The sequence below is a fragment of the Homo sapiens genome, chromosome 10 (genome assembly GCF_000001405.40).
Source record: "Homo sapiens chromosome 10, GRCh38.p14 Primary Assembly".
In the NCBI taxonomy this organism is placed as follows: Eukaryota; Metazoa; Chordata; class Mammalia; order Primates; family Hominidae; genus Homo; species Homo sapiens.
In genome coordinates, this window is record NC_000010.11 from 97,584,367 (window position 1) to 97,601,818 (window position 17,452).

The 17,452-nt window shown below is 50.3% G+C and overlaps 2 protein-coding genes across 3 annotated transcripts in view, besides 1 other annotated feature; both read left to right on the forward strand.

Moving 5' to 3' along the window:
• The window catches only part of HOGA1 (4-hydroxy-2-oxoglutarate aldolase 1), a 28,414-nt gene continuing 10,984 nt past the window's right edge, over positions 23-17,452 (forward strand). The window contains exons 1-5 of one of the 2 annotated variants that reach the window (NM_138413.4): positions 23-548; positions 14,409-14,537; positions 14,723-14,850; positions 15,314-15,448; positions 15,701-15,797. In NM_138413.4, coding sequence (NP_612422.2) covers positions 338-548; positions 14,409-14,537; positions 14,723-14,850; positions 15,314-15,448; positions 15,701-15,797 — 700 coding nt within the window. In that variant the 5' untranslated portion in view covers positions 23-337. The remainder of the gene's footprint in view (positions 549-14,408; positions 14,538-14,722; positions 14,851-15,313; positions 15,449-15,700; positions 15,798-17,452) is intronic. The other variant, NM_001134670.2, reaches the window with a different exon arrangement.
• C10orf62 (chromosome 10 open reading frame 62) lies at positions 5,355-6,568 on the forward strand. The gene has a single exon (NM_001009997.3). It carries the CDS (start codon positions 5,532-5,534, stop codon positions 6,201-6,203), a length of 672 nt encoding a protein of 223 aa, NP_001009997.2. The 5' UTR covers positions 5,355-5,531; the 3' UTR covers positions 6,204-6,568.
• Positions 11,906-12,200: an enhancer, noted in NCBI's record as "tiled region #10262; K562 Activating non-DNase unmatched - State 7:EnhWF". NCBI's record gives its function as "activates a minimal TATA promoter and a strong SV40 promoter by Sharpr-MPRA in K562 cells {active_cell/tissue: K562}" and the evidence as "EXISTENCE:reporter gene assay evidence [ECO:0000049][PMID:27701403]".

Here is a 17,452-nt window from a genome sequence, read left to right on the forward strand (position 1 = left end):
GGGAATTGTGGGAGGAGGGCCCAGATCCCACTGGAGATACCGAAGGAGATACTCTTTAGTATTGGGATCCCAGAAACCAGTCCTATATCTGGCCAGAGGGACACTGGGTTGTGGCATCTCTCTAGCTGCTACCCAGAAGGAACAGGGCCCCCTGGGGCCTATAGGCCTTGCCCCTGACCCTGGGAACACCCAGCTCAGGCCTGCCCCAGTGGCCACAAGTCAGGGAGGCCGCAAATTTTTAACTAGAAACATTGATCATTAATAGGGGGTTAGAAAGAGTTCAAACTAAGTCTCACTCTGGGACATAGACCAATTGTGCTTCAGGCCTCCTGCAGAGATGCTGGGTCCCCAAGTCTGGTCTTCTGTGAGGCAGGGGCTAAGCAGGAGCTTGTCCAGGAATGTGGGGGTCTGGGCCTCAGGGGAGGGGAAGAAGGTGGACATTGCGGGTATCTACCCCCCTGTGACCACCCCCTTCACTGCCACTGCAGAGGTGGACTATGGGAAACTGGAGGAGAATCTGCACAAACTGGGCACCTTCCCCTTCCGAGGTAAGTGGGGCTGTCCTCTGTGGGACCTGGGGAGATGTGAGTGGCCCTTTAGCCAGAGACCAAGGGAGGGTACACAGGCTCTGTCAAGCTGTCCAGGGATAGTCTGGTACTCAGTGGGTCATTTTATTATGGGAGAGGAACAGGGGAGACTGGTCTGGAGTCAGGAGACAGGCAGGAAGCTCCACGCTGGCCTGTAACCTTAAGCTAAACCTCACCTGCTTCAGTTTACCCAGCTGTAAACTGTTAAAGTGCCTTTGTAGCTCCCAGAGTGATTCTGAGGTTGGACTGGATAATGGGCGTGAAAGTCCTTGTCAACCTTGTCACTTGGTGCAGATGTGAAGGCATGTGGCTGGGGTCACGTGGCAGCCCAGCCACAGTCCCAGTTCCCTCCAAAGTTTGTTTGTACATTCTCTTCTGGACAAAGCCTCCTTGCCAGAATTAGTTCTCCTGTGACCCCTTGGCTCCTGTGACTCCTGTTGTGGCTCCTGTGACCCCATCTCTCTTTACACATGGGTCTCCCCAACTCTGAGGTTAGGGACCAGATGATATTTGCAACAATCAACATGTAACAGAGTCCCAGGCACAATAAATGAAGGTAGAAGAAAATGTCAAATTCTGCCTGCCCTGCTCCGCCCATCCCCATTCCTTACTGCACAATCCCCTGAGGCAGTGCTCTCTGTAGGACCATCCCACAGATGGGAATCTGGGCCTCAGAGTGACATGGTCACTGCCCAAGGTCATTCGGCTAACACATAGCTGAGCTGAGGTTTGCACCTCGTCTGACTGCATGGCCCATGCTCCATTTTACTCCCTCGCTGACTCTCATTATAAACCCTTTGGAGCTGCTAGGCCACACTATTTCAACGGAGTGTCTGGTCAGCACTAGCTTTGTTGTGGCTGCTATTGAGGCAGTATCGTGTAGACTGTGGACTCTGGTTTCAAATCACAGCTCTGGAGTGAGCGCCTGTAATCCCAACACTTTGGGAGGCCGAGGCGGAGGGATCATGAGGTCAGGAGTTCAAGACCAGCCTGGCCAACATAGTGAAACCCCGTCTCTACTAAAAATGCAAAAATTAGCTGGGCGTGGTGGTGTGTGCCTGTAATCCCAGCTACTCGGGAGACTGAGGCAGGAGAATCGCTTGAACCCGGGAGGCAGAGATTGCAGTGAGCTGAGATCATACCATTGCACTCTAGCCCGGGCGACAGAGCAAGACTCCATCTCAAAAAAAAAAAAAAAAATCAAATCACATCTCTGGCACTGACTTAGTGTGGGATGATTGCTGTCCCTATCGGACACATGGGAGTGATAATGCTCATATTATGGGATGGTTGGACAAAAAAATCTGAGAGAATGCAAGTGAAATCGTGCTATAAATTGTGGAGTAATATACATTGGAAGGTACTGATTCCAATGGTAATAATGATTAAAATGACAGTGTGATTGGCATTGCAGCAAAGCTGCTTTGTGACTGTGACCCCTGGCCTGATGGACACGTTGATCATTCATAGCTCAGTACTGAGGGAATGTGCCCCTTCCTTGGGGACAATGAATGCCCTGTGGAGGGCCACGTTGAGCAGGGCACAACTGTTAGGTTTCTGCTGGTGCTTGGCTCGTGGGGCCTGGAGGTTTGGTGAGGTCCTGGTTCTCTTGAAGTGAGAAGCATTTTGAGCCTCTAAGTGAAGACCTTACTTCAGCTTCAAGGTTCAAGGATGCTCTAGTTCAGGGTGGGGAGGGTGGACTTTGCATCTGGTGTTTGCCTGACACCCAGAGAATCCACAGAGACCCCCAGACTCTTCTCTGGACCCTCCCTTCTGGGCCACCCACCCACTCTTGCAGAGGGCATGGGGTGCCCAGGAGCACAGGCTTCCGTGGATTTAGCAGGCTGTGGGCTGCACATACCCACTTGTCTGTCTCCCTCGCAACCTATGCAGGCTCCAGCTCCCATCTGATCACTCACCCACACACCAGAGAGCCAGCGGGGTGTGGTAGGAAGAGCCCAGCATCTTGAGTTAGAGGACCTGGGCAAGAATCCTGCCACTTCTGCCAGTTAACAGAGACCTTGGGGAAACCACTTAACCTTTCAAATCCAGTCCTCATTTTAGAATAGGAACTGAGCCTTCAGGCTTCTAGCCACAGGGTCAATATAATCCTCCCAAGGCACTGTCACAGAAAACACAGAGATAGAGGGTCCCTTCCCTGCTTCCAGGGTGCAGCCAAAATGCCCAGGAAGGAAGACACAAACAACTTTAGCTCTGAAATCTGTGTTTCTCTTGCCCTGTCCTGGCCCCTGAGGTAGACTTTGCAGCCCAACACTCAGGCTGAGGAGGGAACGTATCACATTGTAAGGGCCTCCTGCAGCCAGTTAAAGGTCCTCTGAAGAGGAGATGAGGGCCAGGCACAGTGGCTTACTCCTGTAATCCCAGCACTTTGGGAGGCCAAGGCAGGAGGATCTCTTGAGACCAGGAGTTGGAGACCAGCCTGGCCAACATAGTGAGACCCTGTCTCTATTAAAACAAATAAATAGGAGGTGGAAAGCTGCCCTGGATGAATCAGTGAAGAGTTAGAGATTCTTCTGGAAAGCACTCCCTGAAACTGTGTAGCTTTTTTTTTTGAGACAGAGTCTTGCTCTGTCGCTCAGGCTGGAGTGCAGTGGCATGATTTGCCTCACTGAAACCTCCGCTTCCTGGGTTCAAGCGATTCTCATGCCTCAGCCTCCTGAGTAGCTGGGATTACAGGTGCCTGCCACCACGCCTGGCTAATTTTTGTATTTTTAGTAGAGATGGGGTTTCACCATGTTGGCCAAGCTGGTCTTGAACTCCTGACCTCACGGTCCGCCGGCCTCGGCCTCCCAAAGTGCTGGGATTACAGGCGTGAGCCACCGCGCTGGGCCTCTTATTTATTTATTTATTTTTAAGATGGGGTCTCAGTCTGCCACCCAGGCTGGACTGCAGTGGCACGATCTCGGCTCACTGCAACCTCTGCCTCCTGGGACTAAAGCAATCTGCCCATCTCAGCCTCCCGAGTAGCTGGGACCAAAGGTGCACACCACTATACCCGGCTAATTTTTTGTATTTTTAGTAGAGATGGGATTTTGCCGTGTTGCCCAGGCTGATCTCGAATTCCTGAGCTCAAGTGATCTGCCTGCCTCTGCCTCCCAAAATGCTGGGATTACAGGCATGAGCCACCATGCCCGGCCCCGTGTAGCTCTTTTTAAAAAATCTTTTTAGCATTGCTAATTTGTACTGATTATTTGAATAGAGAGTATTCTTTTTGTTTTTTCTTTCTTTTTTTTTTTTTTTTGTGATGGAGTCTTGCTCTGTCTCCCAGGCTGCAGTGCAGTGGCACGATCTCGGCTTACTGCAAGCTCTGCCTTCCAGGTTCACGCCATTTTCCTGCCTCAGCCTCCTGAGTAGCTGGGACTACAGGCTCCCACCACCATGCACGGCTAATTTTTTGTGTGTGTGTGTGTATTTTTAGTAGAGATGGGGTTTCACCGTGTTAGCCAGGATGGTCTCAATCTCCTGACCTCGTGATCGTCCGCCTCGGCCTCCCAAAGTGTTGGGATTACAGGCGTGAGCCACAGCGCCCAGCCAAGAGTATTCTTTTTAAATAAAAATTATGACCAGAGACTAGAGGAAGGGGTCATTACAGAAGGGCTCTATGGCCCTGAACTCACACCCATAAACACCCTCAAAGATGGACTTTGAATTGTTATTTCCAAATGAGGTTAGCCAACCACAGAACTAGTCCAGCAGGACTGGGAAGATGAGGTTCTCCATAAAACACTTGTGTCCTATTCCTTCCATACATAGAGTGGACCATGCTTTCTTGCAAAGATATAATATTTTGTATATATTAAAACCATTACTCTGTTAAAGAAAATATTTTGTTTAAAGCATCACAATGTTTACAACCCCATTTTGGCATTTCTTATTTTTTTTTAAATGGGCTAGATGCTTTTGAGGGGAAAAAAAAATACAGTGGCCCAGGCCTGTTTATACCCTGAGAGGCCTTGGAGATTAATTAGGCTTTTAGTTGTCTGCACCTATGGAAAGCCTGGCCAGCCAGCCCACCTGCTCACAACCCGAACCATGCCTATTTATGGGGGGGCAAATTCTGGGTTTGTAGGTGCCTCACTAAGGCAAGAGGTAGCAGCTACCATCCCGGAGTGGCCCCAGGGATCTAGACCCGATGAAGTCTCCTGTCCACTCTGCCTTCTCAGCCCACTGCTTGCCTCTCCACCCTCAGCCCATTGTGACCTCATGTTAGTTACTCCAGAATGAGCTCCTTCCTGGGTTCTTTTCCCTCTGAACTCTGCCCTGTAGTGAGGCGAGGGGCTGCAAATGAGGATGGAATATGCCAGGCTGGCAGCAGACATGGGCACTGGATGGAGGTGCACTGGTCTCAGATGGCTAGGAATGGATACCAGCCCAGTCAAGGGGATCATTCTGTCATGGCCAGCCTGACCCAGCATACTTTGCCCCCTGGGGGCCACCAGATGGGGAGAGAGAGAAACCAAAGACTGGAAGATACAAAGGCCTAAGTTGTAGAATGGATTCCAAGCAGAAGGCAGAAGGACTCAGAATTGGAGAAGCAGCCCTTTCACTGAGCCTGGGGACAGCTGTCAGGGTAGGAGACAGGACCCAGGCCTCAGGCAATGCCTGCCAGGCTAGACATGAGGGATGCTGCGGCCTCTCCCCACCCCACTCTCCCCACCCCACCCGCAACTGCCTTCCTCACAATGGGGTTCATTGTTGAGGTGGTGGGGGGCACCTAGGGAGGGTGCAGCAGGGGGCCTGCCTGTCAGACATCCTTGGGGAGCCTGCCCTTTCAAGCATGAATCATACCACCAGAGATCACCCAGCGTGCTCTTAGCTCTGCCTGCCTGGTGTAGGGTCCTGGAGACCTTCTTGGAGCTCATCCAGCAGCCATCATGCAAGGTGGTGCTGGGGACTGCCCTCTTGCTAGGAGGTGGAGGTCTCATGCTGTGGGTTCAGAGAAAGAGGAGAAGAAAGGAAACCTCTGAGTGTCCATCAGACAAGGACAAGTCACCAGAATCCCATAAAGCAAAGAATGAAAGCTGGATTAAATCCCACTTTAGCCGCCTTTCCGAAGAGAAGCTGGCCCTCGACAACAATGCCAGCGCTAGTGGCAATGCTACCCAGACTGAGAGTGGGAGTGAAGAGGTCAGCTCCACGGTTCACATAGAGACCTTCACCACGAGGCACGGAGAAGTGGGCTCCGCTCTGCACCGGGAATCCTTCACCAGCAGGCAGAAGACATCTGGGCCCTCAGTGATCCAAGAGATCCACCAGGAGTCTGGAAAAGCCCCATCCACTGATGAGGCCACGTGGGCCGCTGTGGCTGCCTGCACCAAGGAGATTGACACCCAGGGGCGGCACCTGGCTCACTCCATGCTGCAGCGGGCCATAGCTTACCAGCACTCAGGTCACCTAGAGTCCAAGGACATCAACCAGGAGGAGCTGAGGGCCCTCGAGGAGGTAGAGATGAAGCTGCAAAAGAATTTCCTCACCCAGCGGGAAAACACCATAGCTGGTGCCAATCACACACACACCTTCTATGGCCACAGTCACCACAGTCACCATGGCCACCCAAGCCACCAGAGCCACAGCCTGCCTAATCGCAGACACTAGATCTGTGACTTCTTGGAAGCCACCTAACCATGGATGGAGACGCCCCTGCCCCCAGCAAGGCTGGCTCACACACACGTCTGTTTTCTCTCCTATGGGGCCATCTATGCAGGCCAGGGTGAGATGCTGTGCCCAAATCCCTACTTTCTTAGGCTCCTCACGGGGATTATGGGCTCTTTAAACTCCATGAGTGGGGTCTGCCACAGAAGATGGCCCCTGTTGGAGGGAGAGCTGGGAGGACACAGCGCAGGTGAGATAGACCCTGAGGCCCCTGAAGACCCACCAAGAGAAGACAGATGGGAGCAGGCAAGAGCCCCACACTGATGTCATTGCCTGGAACGGAGCCAATAAAGCTTTGTGTGCCTTCACTCTGAGTCCAGGGGCTCTGTGGGCAGCCTAAGGTCTGGCAGGGATGGAGGGAGGGGGCTCCCTCTCCAGCAGTCCTCTGGAGTGGAGTGGAGAAAAGGCCCCCGACCTGGGGCCTTTTCACTGGGCCTCATTTAAAGCTCCATAAAACAGCTACCCTGGTCTCAGGTTCTGGAAAAGGGGTACCTCTAGACGTCTCAACACCCCCAATCTGATGTTGCCAGGGAAGAGGGGAGCAGCCAGGTATTGGGCTTGGAGGAGAAACAGGCTTTCAGAGGAGAGTAACTAAGCCAGGTGGGAATGAGGGCCCCTGTCGTCTTGGTGCTATCTTTGCTCTCAAGTCATGTGGCATCCTACAAGGCAGTTCTCTCACCAGCCCCACCTGCTTCCTGGGGCCCCTTGGGATCCATGTTAGTACCTCCCCACCACCTAAGTCTACAGCTACTGAGTGAGCACAACACTTTCTTCTTGTTTGTTTAACTTAATTTAATTTAATTTAATTTAATTTAATTTTAAGTTCTGAGTTACATGGGCAGGATGTTCAGGTTTGTTACATAGGTAAACGTGTGCCATGGTGGTTTGCTGCACCTATCAACACGTCACCTAAGGTATTTATTTAGCCCTGCGTGCATTAGCTATTTAACCTGATCATCTTGGGTTCTTTTTTTTCTTTTCCCTTTTTTTCTTGTTTTTTATGTATGTATATTTTGAGACAGGGTTTCACTCCTGCTGCCTAGGCTGGAGTGCAGAGGCGTGATCACGGCTCACTGCAACCTCTGCCTCTTGGGTTCGAGCGATCCTCCCACCTCAGCTTCCCAAGTAGCTGGGACTGCAGGTGTGTGGAACCACACCTGGCTAATTTTTTTTTTTTCTTTTCTTTCATTTTGTGTGTGTGTGTGTGTGTGTGTGTGTGTGTGTGTGTGTGTGACAGAGTCTCGCTTCATTGCCCAGGCTGGAGTACAGTGGCGCGATCTTGGCTCACTGCAACCTCTGCCTCCCGGGTTCATGCGGTTCTCATGCCTCAGCCTCCCGAGTAGCTAAGGCCAAAGGCACACACCACCATGCCTGGCAAATTTTTTTTGTATTTTTAGTAGAGATGGGGTTTTGCCATGTTGCCCAGGCTGGATTACAGTGGTGATATCATAGTTCACTGCAGCCTCAGACTCAAACTGGCAAAATTCAAATAAAGTCCTTAGTTAATGACATTGTACCAGTGTTAATTCTTTGGTTCTGGTCATCATATTATAGCTAGGTAAGACATTATCATTGGTGGAGGCTGGGTGAAGGATGTATAGAAAATCCCTGTACTTTTTTTTTTTTTTTTTTGAGACGGAGTCTTGCTCTGTGGCCCAGGCTGGAGTGCAGTGGTGCGATCTCGGCTCATTGCAAGCTTCACCTCCCGGGTTCATGCCATTCTCCTGCCTCAGTCTCTCGAGTAGCTGGGACTACAGGCGCCCGCCACCACGCCTGGCTAATTTTTTCCATTTTTAGTAGAGACGGGGTTTCACTGTGTTAGCCAGGATGTTCTCCATCTCCTGACTTCGTGATCCGCCAGCCTCGGCCTCCCAAAGTGCTGAGATTACAGGTGGGAGCCACCGTGCCCAGCCAGAAAATCCCTGTACTATTTTTGAAACTTTTCTGTAAATCTAAAAGTAATTCAATATTTCAAGTTAAAAAAAAAGTTTTCAGACAATTTGATTATGAGTGTGTGTCAAAGTTTGATTATCGTTGTAATGCAAGCAAAATGACCTGTAAGCAGCTAACTCAAATATATACTCTTGGTAAGAATATTTTTATTAAAAAAAGAATGGTCAGGCTGGGCGTGGTGACTCCTGTCTGTAATCCCTGCACTTTGGGAGGCCGAGATGGGCAGATCACTTGAGGTCAGGAGTTTGTGAGACCAGCCTGGACAACCTCGTGAAACCTCGTCTCTACTAAATATGCAAAAATGAGCTGGGCATGGTGGTGCCCACCTTAATCCCAGCTGCTTGGGAGGCTGAGTTGGGAGGATTGCTTGAATCCAGGAGGCGGAGGTTGCAGTGAACAGTGATCGCTCCACTGCACTTTAGCCTGGGCGACAGAGTGAGACTCTGTCTCAAAAAAAAAAAAAAAAAAAAAAGAGAATGGTCAGATCACTCACTGTTAAGACTACGTAAAGACAAAGAAGAGTAGTTAACAGCTTCTAGGCTCTTGCCTGAGAGTTGGCTGGGAGGGTGGCTAATTTTCCAGATCAAGTCTTAATTCCATTAAAGTTCATTGGGGGCCGAACACGGCGGCTCACGCCTGTAATCCCAGCACTTTGGGAGGCTGAGGCAGGTGGGTCATCTGAGATCAGGAGTTTGAGACCAGCCTGGCCAACATGGTGAAATCCCATCTCTACTAAAAATACAAAAAATTAGCTGGGTGTGGTGGCAGGCACCTGTAATCTCAGCTACTCGGGAGGCTGAGACAGAAGAATTGCTTGAACCTGGGAGGTGGAGGTTGCAGTGAGCCGAGACCATGCCACTGCCCTCCAGCCTGGGTAACAGAGCCAGACTCTGTCTCAAAAAAAACATAAAAAAGAAAAAAATAAATAAAGTTCATCACAAAAATGCTTAAGCATTTCATCAGGAATGTAATTTCTTTCCAGAGGGAGGTTATGAATTATGTCATGCAAAAAACTTTGGCCGCAGACCAGGGCAGAAAAAAATAAAGAACTTCTTTTTCTTTTGCACAACAAATTGTCAACACACACCTCAACACCTATGCTAGGCACCACACAGGAGGCCAGAATGCATCCAGGCAAAGTAAGGCAAGCACTGGGCAAGGAAAACAGAATGCTGGGTAGCCGACTTGAGCTTGTTGGCCCGCATTTGGAAGGTGTTCCAGGCAGAAGGGAACAACACAAGCAAGGGTGCAGAGGGAGGGAAGTGCAGTGTCTGGGGAACCATGGCAGTCAACTTGTTTTTTTTTTGAGACCGAGTTTCACTCTTGTCACCCAGGCTTGAGTGCAGTGGCACGACCTCGGCTCACTGTAACCTCTGCCTCCCGGGTTCAAGCGATTCTCCTGCCTCAGCCTCCCGAATAGCTGGGATTACAAGCGTGCACCACCACGCCCAGCTAATTTTTGTATTTTTAGTAGAGATAGCGTTTCACCACGTTGGCCAGGCTGGTCTCGAACTCCTGACCTCAAGTGATTGGCCTGCCTTGGCCTCCCAAAGTGCTGGAATTACAGGCATGAGCCACTGCGCCTGGTCTTTTTTTTTTTTTTTTTTTTTTTTTGAGACAGAGTCTCACTCTGTCACCCAGGCTACCGATCAGTGGTGCGATCTGGGCTCACTGCAACCTCCACCTCCCAGGCTTAAGCAATTCTCCTGCTTCTGACTCCCGAGTAGCTGGGATTACAGGTGCGCGCCTCCATGCTTGGCTAATTTTTGATTTTTAATTTTTTTTATTTTTTTAAGACAGAGTCTTACACTGTCACCCAGGCTGCAGTGCAGTAGCCCAATCTTGGCTCACTGCAACCTCTGCCTCCTGGGTTCAAGCAATTCTCCTGCCTCGGCCTCCTGAGTAACTGGGATTACAGGTGCCTGCCACCATGCCCAGCTAATTTTTGTATTTTTAGTAGAGACGGGGTTTCACCATGTTGGCCAGGCTGGTCTTGAACTCCTGACCTTGTGGTTCGCCCGCCTCGGCGTCCCAAAGTGCTGGGATCACAAGTGTGAACCATTGTGCCTGGCCTAATTTTAATTTTTTTTTAGTAGAGACAGGGTTTCACCATGTTGGCCAGGCTGGTCTCGAACTCCTGGCCTCAAATAGTCCACCCGTCTTGGCCTCCCAAAGTGCTGGGATTACAGGTGTGAGCCACTGTGCCTGGCCCAATTTCTTATTTTATAGGAGAGGTCAGATTGAAAAATTGTGTCTAATCCCACACATGGGGGTGGGGGTGGAGGATTGAAGAGTTCTAGGGACCTTTGTAGATGGGTGCTGTCCATGGGGAAATATTATACAAGGAACAGGTAACGGAAATGCAGAGCAGGGAGGCCCAGTGGAGAGATCCCAGGAAGACTTCTCAGAGGAGGTGGCAATGATGATGGACTAAGAACGCATAATAATGTCTGGGGACACTCCTTATGTGATTCTTTTTAGCCACAGTAAGTCACCATGTTGCTTATGTGTCCCCAGCCCCAAACGCCCACTCCCCTCACTGCCACCCCAGCTCCCAGAGCAGCAAGTGTAATCATGGGGGCAGGGGAGAGTATCTTCCTTTGTCTTACAGCTGGAGGGGGCCTTGTACACCCACTCCTAATATCACAGTAGGTGTACAATGAGAGGTCATTGAGAGCAGCCTCCCCTTCAACACCAGCCACCCTCCTGATTTAAGGTTTGAGCACTTTCTCCTGACTCCATAAGAATGACAGCTAACACTTATTGAGCACCAGGTTCTATTCGAAGTACTTTATAAATAGTATCTCATTTAAACTTCAAAACAACTCTGAGAGGCTGGGTGTGATGGCTCATGCCCATAATCCCCAGCACTTTGGGAGGCCAAGGCAGGCGGATCACCTGAGGCCAGGAGTTCGAGACCAGCCTGGCCAACATGGTGAAACCCTGTCTCTACTAAAAATACAAAAATTAGCCGGCATGGTGTCAGGTGCCTGTAATCCCAGCTACTCAGGAGGCTGAGGCAGGATAATTGCTTGAGCCTGGGAGACAGAGGCTGCAGTGAGCCGAGGTCGCACCACTGCACTCCAGCCTGGGCAACAGAGTGAGACTCTGTCTCAAAACAAAACAAAACAAAACTCTGAGAAAGGCACTAATATCATCACTATTTTTTAATTGAGTTAGCCTGGGCTTCTCTGACTTCAGGGCCTGTGCATCTGACCCCTCTTCTGTGAGCCCTCTGCTTTTCTGCTTTTTCCCCAGTCCCTGCTTCATTGGAGATCCTGGCCTTTTCCTCTCCTCTGGCCCCCTCTCTACACTAACAGGGACACATCAGGCTCACACCTGGACATCTAACCAGGGTGAAGGAGGGGCTCTTTGGGGTACCCACTCACAGATTTCTGGGACATTTTCTTATCCTTTAAAACAGTCCTATAAGCTAGGATTGAAATGATTTCACTGTCATCCCATAGAAAAGGAAACAGACTCAAAGATGTGATGTGACTTGTTCAATATCCAGAGGTGACTCTTGAGTCTAGTGCTGCCCTGACTACGCCACACTCCCTCTTCTCCAGCCAGGCACTTCTTCCTTCTTGGGAGTCAGGCATGAGTCAGTTGCCCCCTTCAATGAGACAGAAGAGAGGGCTGTGTCATAGAAGCTTTGAGCACAGTGTCTGCTTCTGACTCCCAGAGTGCAAGCCTCAGCTGTCCTGCTGTTTAGACCAGCTCCACCTGTAGGGCCCCTGGAACTGACCAGCAGGATGAGAGGTGAAGGAAGAGGGTGATGGTGGCTGAATCAGTGGCCGCAGCAAGAACCTGCCCCAGCCCAGGACGGCAGGCAGGGTTGGGGAGGAAGATGACTTTGGTATTGGAACAGAGAGAGTGGCAAGAGTTTGATCTTTGACTCTTTAGTCAGAGGGTGCTGGTCCAATCGTAGCTAGATTGGAGTCCTCACCCAGGGCTGGCAGCTTTTACGGAGAGCACTGCAGCCCCATGTAGCAAGACACAGGGAGGCCCTTCCTTGGGCTGCTAGCCTGACACACAGGAATCAATCCCCCAGAAGCAATCCCACAGGAGCGAGAAGCTGTGTGCCTCCAGACGTTCCCTGCAATGTTACCAATGCAAAATAACTACCAAAAAAAAAAAAAAAAAAGCAGCTAAATATCCAATGAGAGATATCCTGATATCCTGGCAACTCACTCTGGAATCTGACGGTGTAGTGAACAGCATGGAAAAAGTTGGTGGAATGAAGTGGAGTCTACATCACACAGTGTCCCCTGAAGGATGACTCACAGGAACAATTTCTCTTGGTCCCAGTGCCAGGAAACTCTGTGTTTCTCCGGGGCAGTTGCTTTGCTTTTATCTTTTGGGTTCTACATGTCTGTTAGCTGACCATGTTTCCCTTTTAGCTCTGGCTATCAGGAAACTCCACATCGAATTTCTGGCTCATTTCTCACAACTATATGGCAGGAACTTTGTATACCAATACTGCTTGTGGCCTTATTTTCATTTCCTTCTCCCAAATAGCCTCCAATTTTTTTTTTTTTTTTGAGACAGGGTCTTGCTCTGTCACCCAGGCTGGAGTGCAGTGGCACAATCATAGTTCACTGCAGCTTCAAATGCACCTGGTTTATTTATTTTTTATTTTTTTGTAAAGTCAGGGTCTCACTTTGTTACCCAAGGTGGTCTCGAACTTCTGGCCTCAAGTGATCCCCCCATCTTAGCCTCCTGAAGTGCTGGGATTACAGGCCCAAATATCCTTCTATTAATTAAGAATCCTGTTGTATTGTACTCTGTGTTTGTAAACTACTGCCATTTTTTTTTTCTTTAATGGAGTGGGATAGAGAGGAGAAAGAAGAAGAAAGAGAAAGTTAAGCGGGCTGGGCACTGTGGCTCACCTGTAACTGGTACAGGTATACTGGTTAGACATATCCCAAGTAAGTGATTGATAAAAACAGGAAAACGCAAAATAAAGCAATGAGATTCACTTTTCACCCAGAAAGTTGGCAAAAATTTGTTCTGACAATACCATGATTTGGCATGTATGACATTCTATGCTGCTCCTGAGGTCTACACTGATTGATTAGAAATGTGGCGCACAGTCAGGCATGGGGGCTCATGACTGTAATCCCAGCACTTCTGGAGGCTAAGGTGGGAGGATCACCTGGGCCCAGGAATTCGAGCCAGCCTGGGCAAAATAGTGAAACTCCATCTCTACAAAAAAAACTACACAAATTAGTTGGGCATGGTAGCTCATGCCTGTAATCCTAGCTGGCTAAGACAGGAGGATCACTTGAACCTGGGGGGCTAAGGCTGCCGTGAGCCGTGATTGTGACACTGCACTCCAGCCTGGGTGACAGAGTGAGACCCTCAAAGAAAAAGTAAATACATAAAAAATGTGTCACAGATGAAGGTGCACATAGCTATGACTCAGCAATTAACACACCAAAGTATCTGAACTCTAGAGGAACTCTTAGACATATGCACAGAAGACTTTACAGAAAATGTTTGTTTCAGCATTGTTTGCAATAGCAAATAGAAGAAAACATTCTTTTCTTCTTTTTTCTTTTTTGGTAGAGACAGGTAGGCCATTTTTTGGTAGAGACAGGCAGCCATGCTGCCCTGCCTGGTTTTGAACTCCTGGGCTCAAGCGATCCACCCACCTTGGCCTCCTAAAGTGCTGAAATTATAGGTGTGAGCCACCAGGCCCAGCCAAAAGAAGGAAACATTCTAAATGCTCTCAACAAGAGAATGACAAATAAATTGTGTTCTAACCTTACAACAGAATACTATACAGCAATTAAAATGAATGAATCAGGGCTACGTGTGCTTTTATGAACAAAGCTCAAAAAATAGTATTAAACAAACAGCAAACTGCAGAAGGCTATTTAAGCTTAATTCCATTTCTACAAGGCTTAAAATTGTAATAACCTTATTACATAAGGATCACTTGAGCCCAGAAGGTCGAAACTGCAGCAAGCTATGGTTGAGCCACTGCATCCCAGCCTGGGCAACAGAGTGAGACCCTGTGTCTAAAAAAGAAAAATGATGTGAACAGTCATTGCAGCTGTGTGGGAACCTTCTGTCTGCAAAGATGGGAAGGAAATGTGTGAAAGATTATGGTGTCGTAAGGTAGGAACACCAATGTCCTAGTTGTTCGGTAGAGGATGGGAAGGAGTTAGTCAGCTGTGTCTCTTGCAGGCTTCGTGGTCCAGGGCTCCAATGGCGAGTTTCCTTTCCTGACCAGCAGTGAGCGCCTCGAGGTGGTGAGCCGTGTGCGCCAGGCCATGCCCAAGAACAGGCTCCTGCTAGCTGGCTCCGGATGCGAGTGTGAGCCAGAATGCCCTGGGCCCTGGGGGTGGGTGGATGTGCAGGATCCAGGCTCCTAGGCCCTAGCTTGGGTCCTGTCTCCTTGTTCTGCCTCTTCTGGGACATGCTGAGGCACCTTCGCTTGGCCCAGTGTCCTGGTCCAGGCCTCCTTCTGCCTGCTCTCACCTCTCTCCTTCCTCTGGCAGCCACTCAAGCCACAGTGGAGATGACCGTCAGCATGGCCCAGGTCGGGGCTGACGCGGCCATGGTGGTGACCCCTTGCTACTATCGTGGCCGCATGAGCAGTGCGGCCCTCATTCACCACTACACCAAGGTGTGTGTGAGGCCTGAGACCAAGAGGAGGCTCTGCCCAGGGAGAGGAGATAAGGGAAGCTGGGAATAGGGTGGTGCTTCACATGAACGGCAGCTATAGGAAACGGGTGGACTGCCACCATGGATCAGCTGCACGACATTGGGAGGCTTACCTGACCACTCTGTGTTACTGCTTTCTCCCCTCTAAAATTGGAGGAATGATGTCATCTGTCTCATAGGGTTGCAGTGAGCATTAAATGAGATCAGGAACATAAAGGCCTTAGAACTGTGCGTGGCATATGGAAAGCACTCCATAAATATGACCCACTGTGATTGCTTACACTCGGGGCACGTAGCATGGGAGGGAGGCCTGTCCAGGTGGCCCTGTAGTGAAGCAGGCTGGGACCTGTGGGTGGGCAAGTCTCTGGCTCTTGGGACCTGGGGCGGCTGCCCTCTCCTGCTTTTCTCTGCGCCCCCCTCCCCAGGTTGCTGATCTCTCTCCAATCCCTGTGGTGCTGTACAGTGTCCCAGCCAACACAGGGCTGGACCTGCCTGTGGATGCAGTGGTCACGCTTTCCCAGCACCCGAATATTGTGGGCATGAAGGACAGCGGTGGTGATGTGAGTGGCAGCAGCTCCGGGGCTGGGGTCCTCTCCTCCTTTTCTGGGTCCTAGCACTTTTGCTCCTGAGGGCAGCTCTGAGATCTGTTTCCAACCTTGGCTTCTGTGTGGATTCTCTCTGTCGTGCGGGCTCTCTGGGACTTTCTTGAGGGCATCTCTTTGAGCACTGGGCTTTCATTCCACCACACTTACCCGGCCCTCATCCAGGATGAGGCTCTGGGCACAGCTCTCACACCACATTTGCTGTTGCAGGTGACCAGGATTGGGCTGATTGTTCACAAGACCAGGAAGCAGGATTTTCAGGTGTTGGCTGGATCGGCTGGCTTTCTGATGGCCAGCTATGCCTTGGGTAGGCCGCCCACTGCTCTCAAATTGTCATGGGTGACCAAGAGATACCCAGGTACCTGGGTCTTCCGGGAGAGATCGTGAGGGCTGGGGCTGGGTCTGCAGATGGTAGTTTGCCAGCCTGCCCACTCTGAAAACTCAGAAACCTGGCCACGCCGCTTACCTGTCTGAATTCGGGATGCTGTGAGTAACCTTGTTGGCTGAAGGAGGATGGCCGTGTACAATCCCTGGCCTGTAGTAGGGATGCCTGCAGTTTGTTCTGAGTCCTGAGCTCCATGATTAGATGACAAACTTAGCTGCTCTAATCCCACCTTGTACATCATTCTCTGAGGGCAGAGGCCCTGGGGCCCTCCTCTGTAGTTCAGGAGTCCATTTTCCTCTCCCCTGTCCCAGACCAGAATGAATTGTCAGATCTACAGAGTTGAGCCAGGGATCTTCAGTTGCCTGATCAGATTCTGTTCCAATCCAGGATCCCTAGGAATGTCACTTAGATCAACTGCTCTTGTCTGTTTGGGGTCAGGGTCCTTGGGTTTGGATTAGATTTGAGCCCTGGAGGGAAGGGAGAAGAAGGGAAGCTGTTCCCTTCAGCTGAAGCCCCAGTGAGTAGAGATTTGAGGGACTTTTCCAGCACTGCAGGGGAGAATGCTTGTTCCTATTCCATCTGGTCCCTCCAGACTTTGGCTGGTTGTCTAGGCCTTTGTACATCTCCCCTGCCATGTCATGGCCTCTACGGTGAAGGGGAAGAAGAAGGGATCCATTTCTCCCTCATTCCTGGAAGTGGAGTAGATTAAAAATAAAAAAAAAAGCACAGGCTCTGGAGGCTGGGGGGAATCTCAGCTCTGCAGTTTATTCACTGAGTAATGCTGGGCAAAGCACTCACCTCTCTGGGCCTGAGTTTCTACTCTGTGTACAGAGGGATCATGAGGATTAGAGAGCATCAGGGCCATGCTGCTGTAGCGCGCCTGGGACACATAGTAGGTATTCCACAAACAACAGCTCTATTAGCTCATTCTGAATTGCCTACTCTCTCTACGGTTTTGAGGCCACTGTGCCTAGGGTTCCACTCCTATCTAGCCTTAGAAGCATACTTACAGGCTTGCAGAAGTGGCGGGGGTTTCTGAGATCACAGCCAAACCCATTTTCATTGCCCCGATGGGCACAAAGAGGACTAGAGAGGGTCTCATTCAGGTTTATGCAGTCAATGGGAAGACATGCCTGGTGACCTGACTCTGTCCAGAGTGCTTTCCATGCCCACTGCTGTCTCTGGTTGCATCCACTGGGGGGAATAAAATTTCAAAAGAGCAAAGGCTTCCCATCCGTCCTACCCTCTTACAGGACTGATGAGTCAGGGGGCTATTGGAGGAAGCTGGAGGTGTCAACTGTCAGATGGGATTTTATTCCGGGAGGGGTTCAGGGAAGGAACCGTCCTTGAGTTCACTTTCAGGCTCTGCTCCCTGCCCCTCACAGATCAGCCCTGAGCAGTGCTTGACCTGCGGGATTCTATTTTGAATATGCAGGCAGCTCTTCTCTCTGGAAATGTATACTCTGGACTCACAGAGCATGCCTTTGATGTAGCCAGCCAAGTGACATAGAAATCTGTATCTAATGTCCCCAGGCTGAAGAGGTGCTGGGACCAGGGCTTGGGATGCCTGGAGGGGA

Coding starts and splice junctions, on each gene's coding strand:
- C10orf62 (NM_001009997.3), top strand. CDS start 5,532: ATGCTGTGGGTTCAGAGAAAGAGGAGAAGAAAGGAAACCTCTGAGTGT.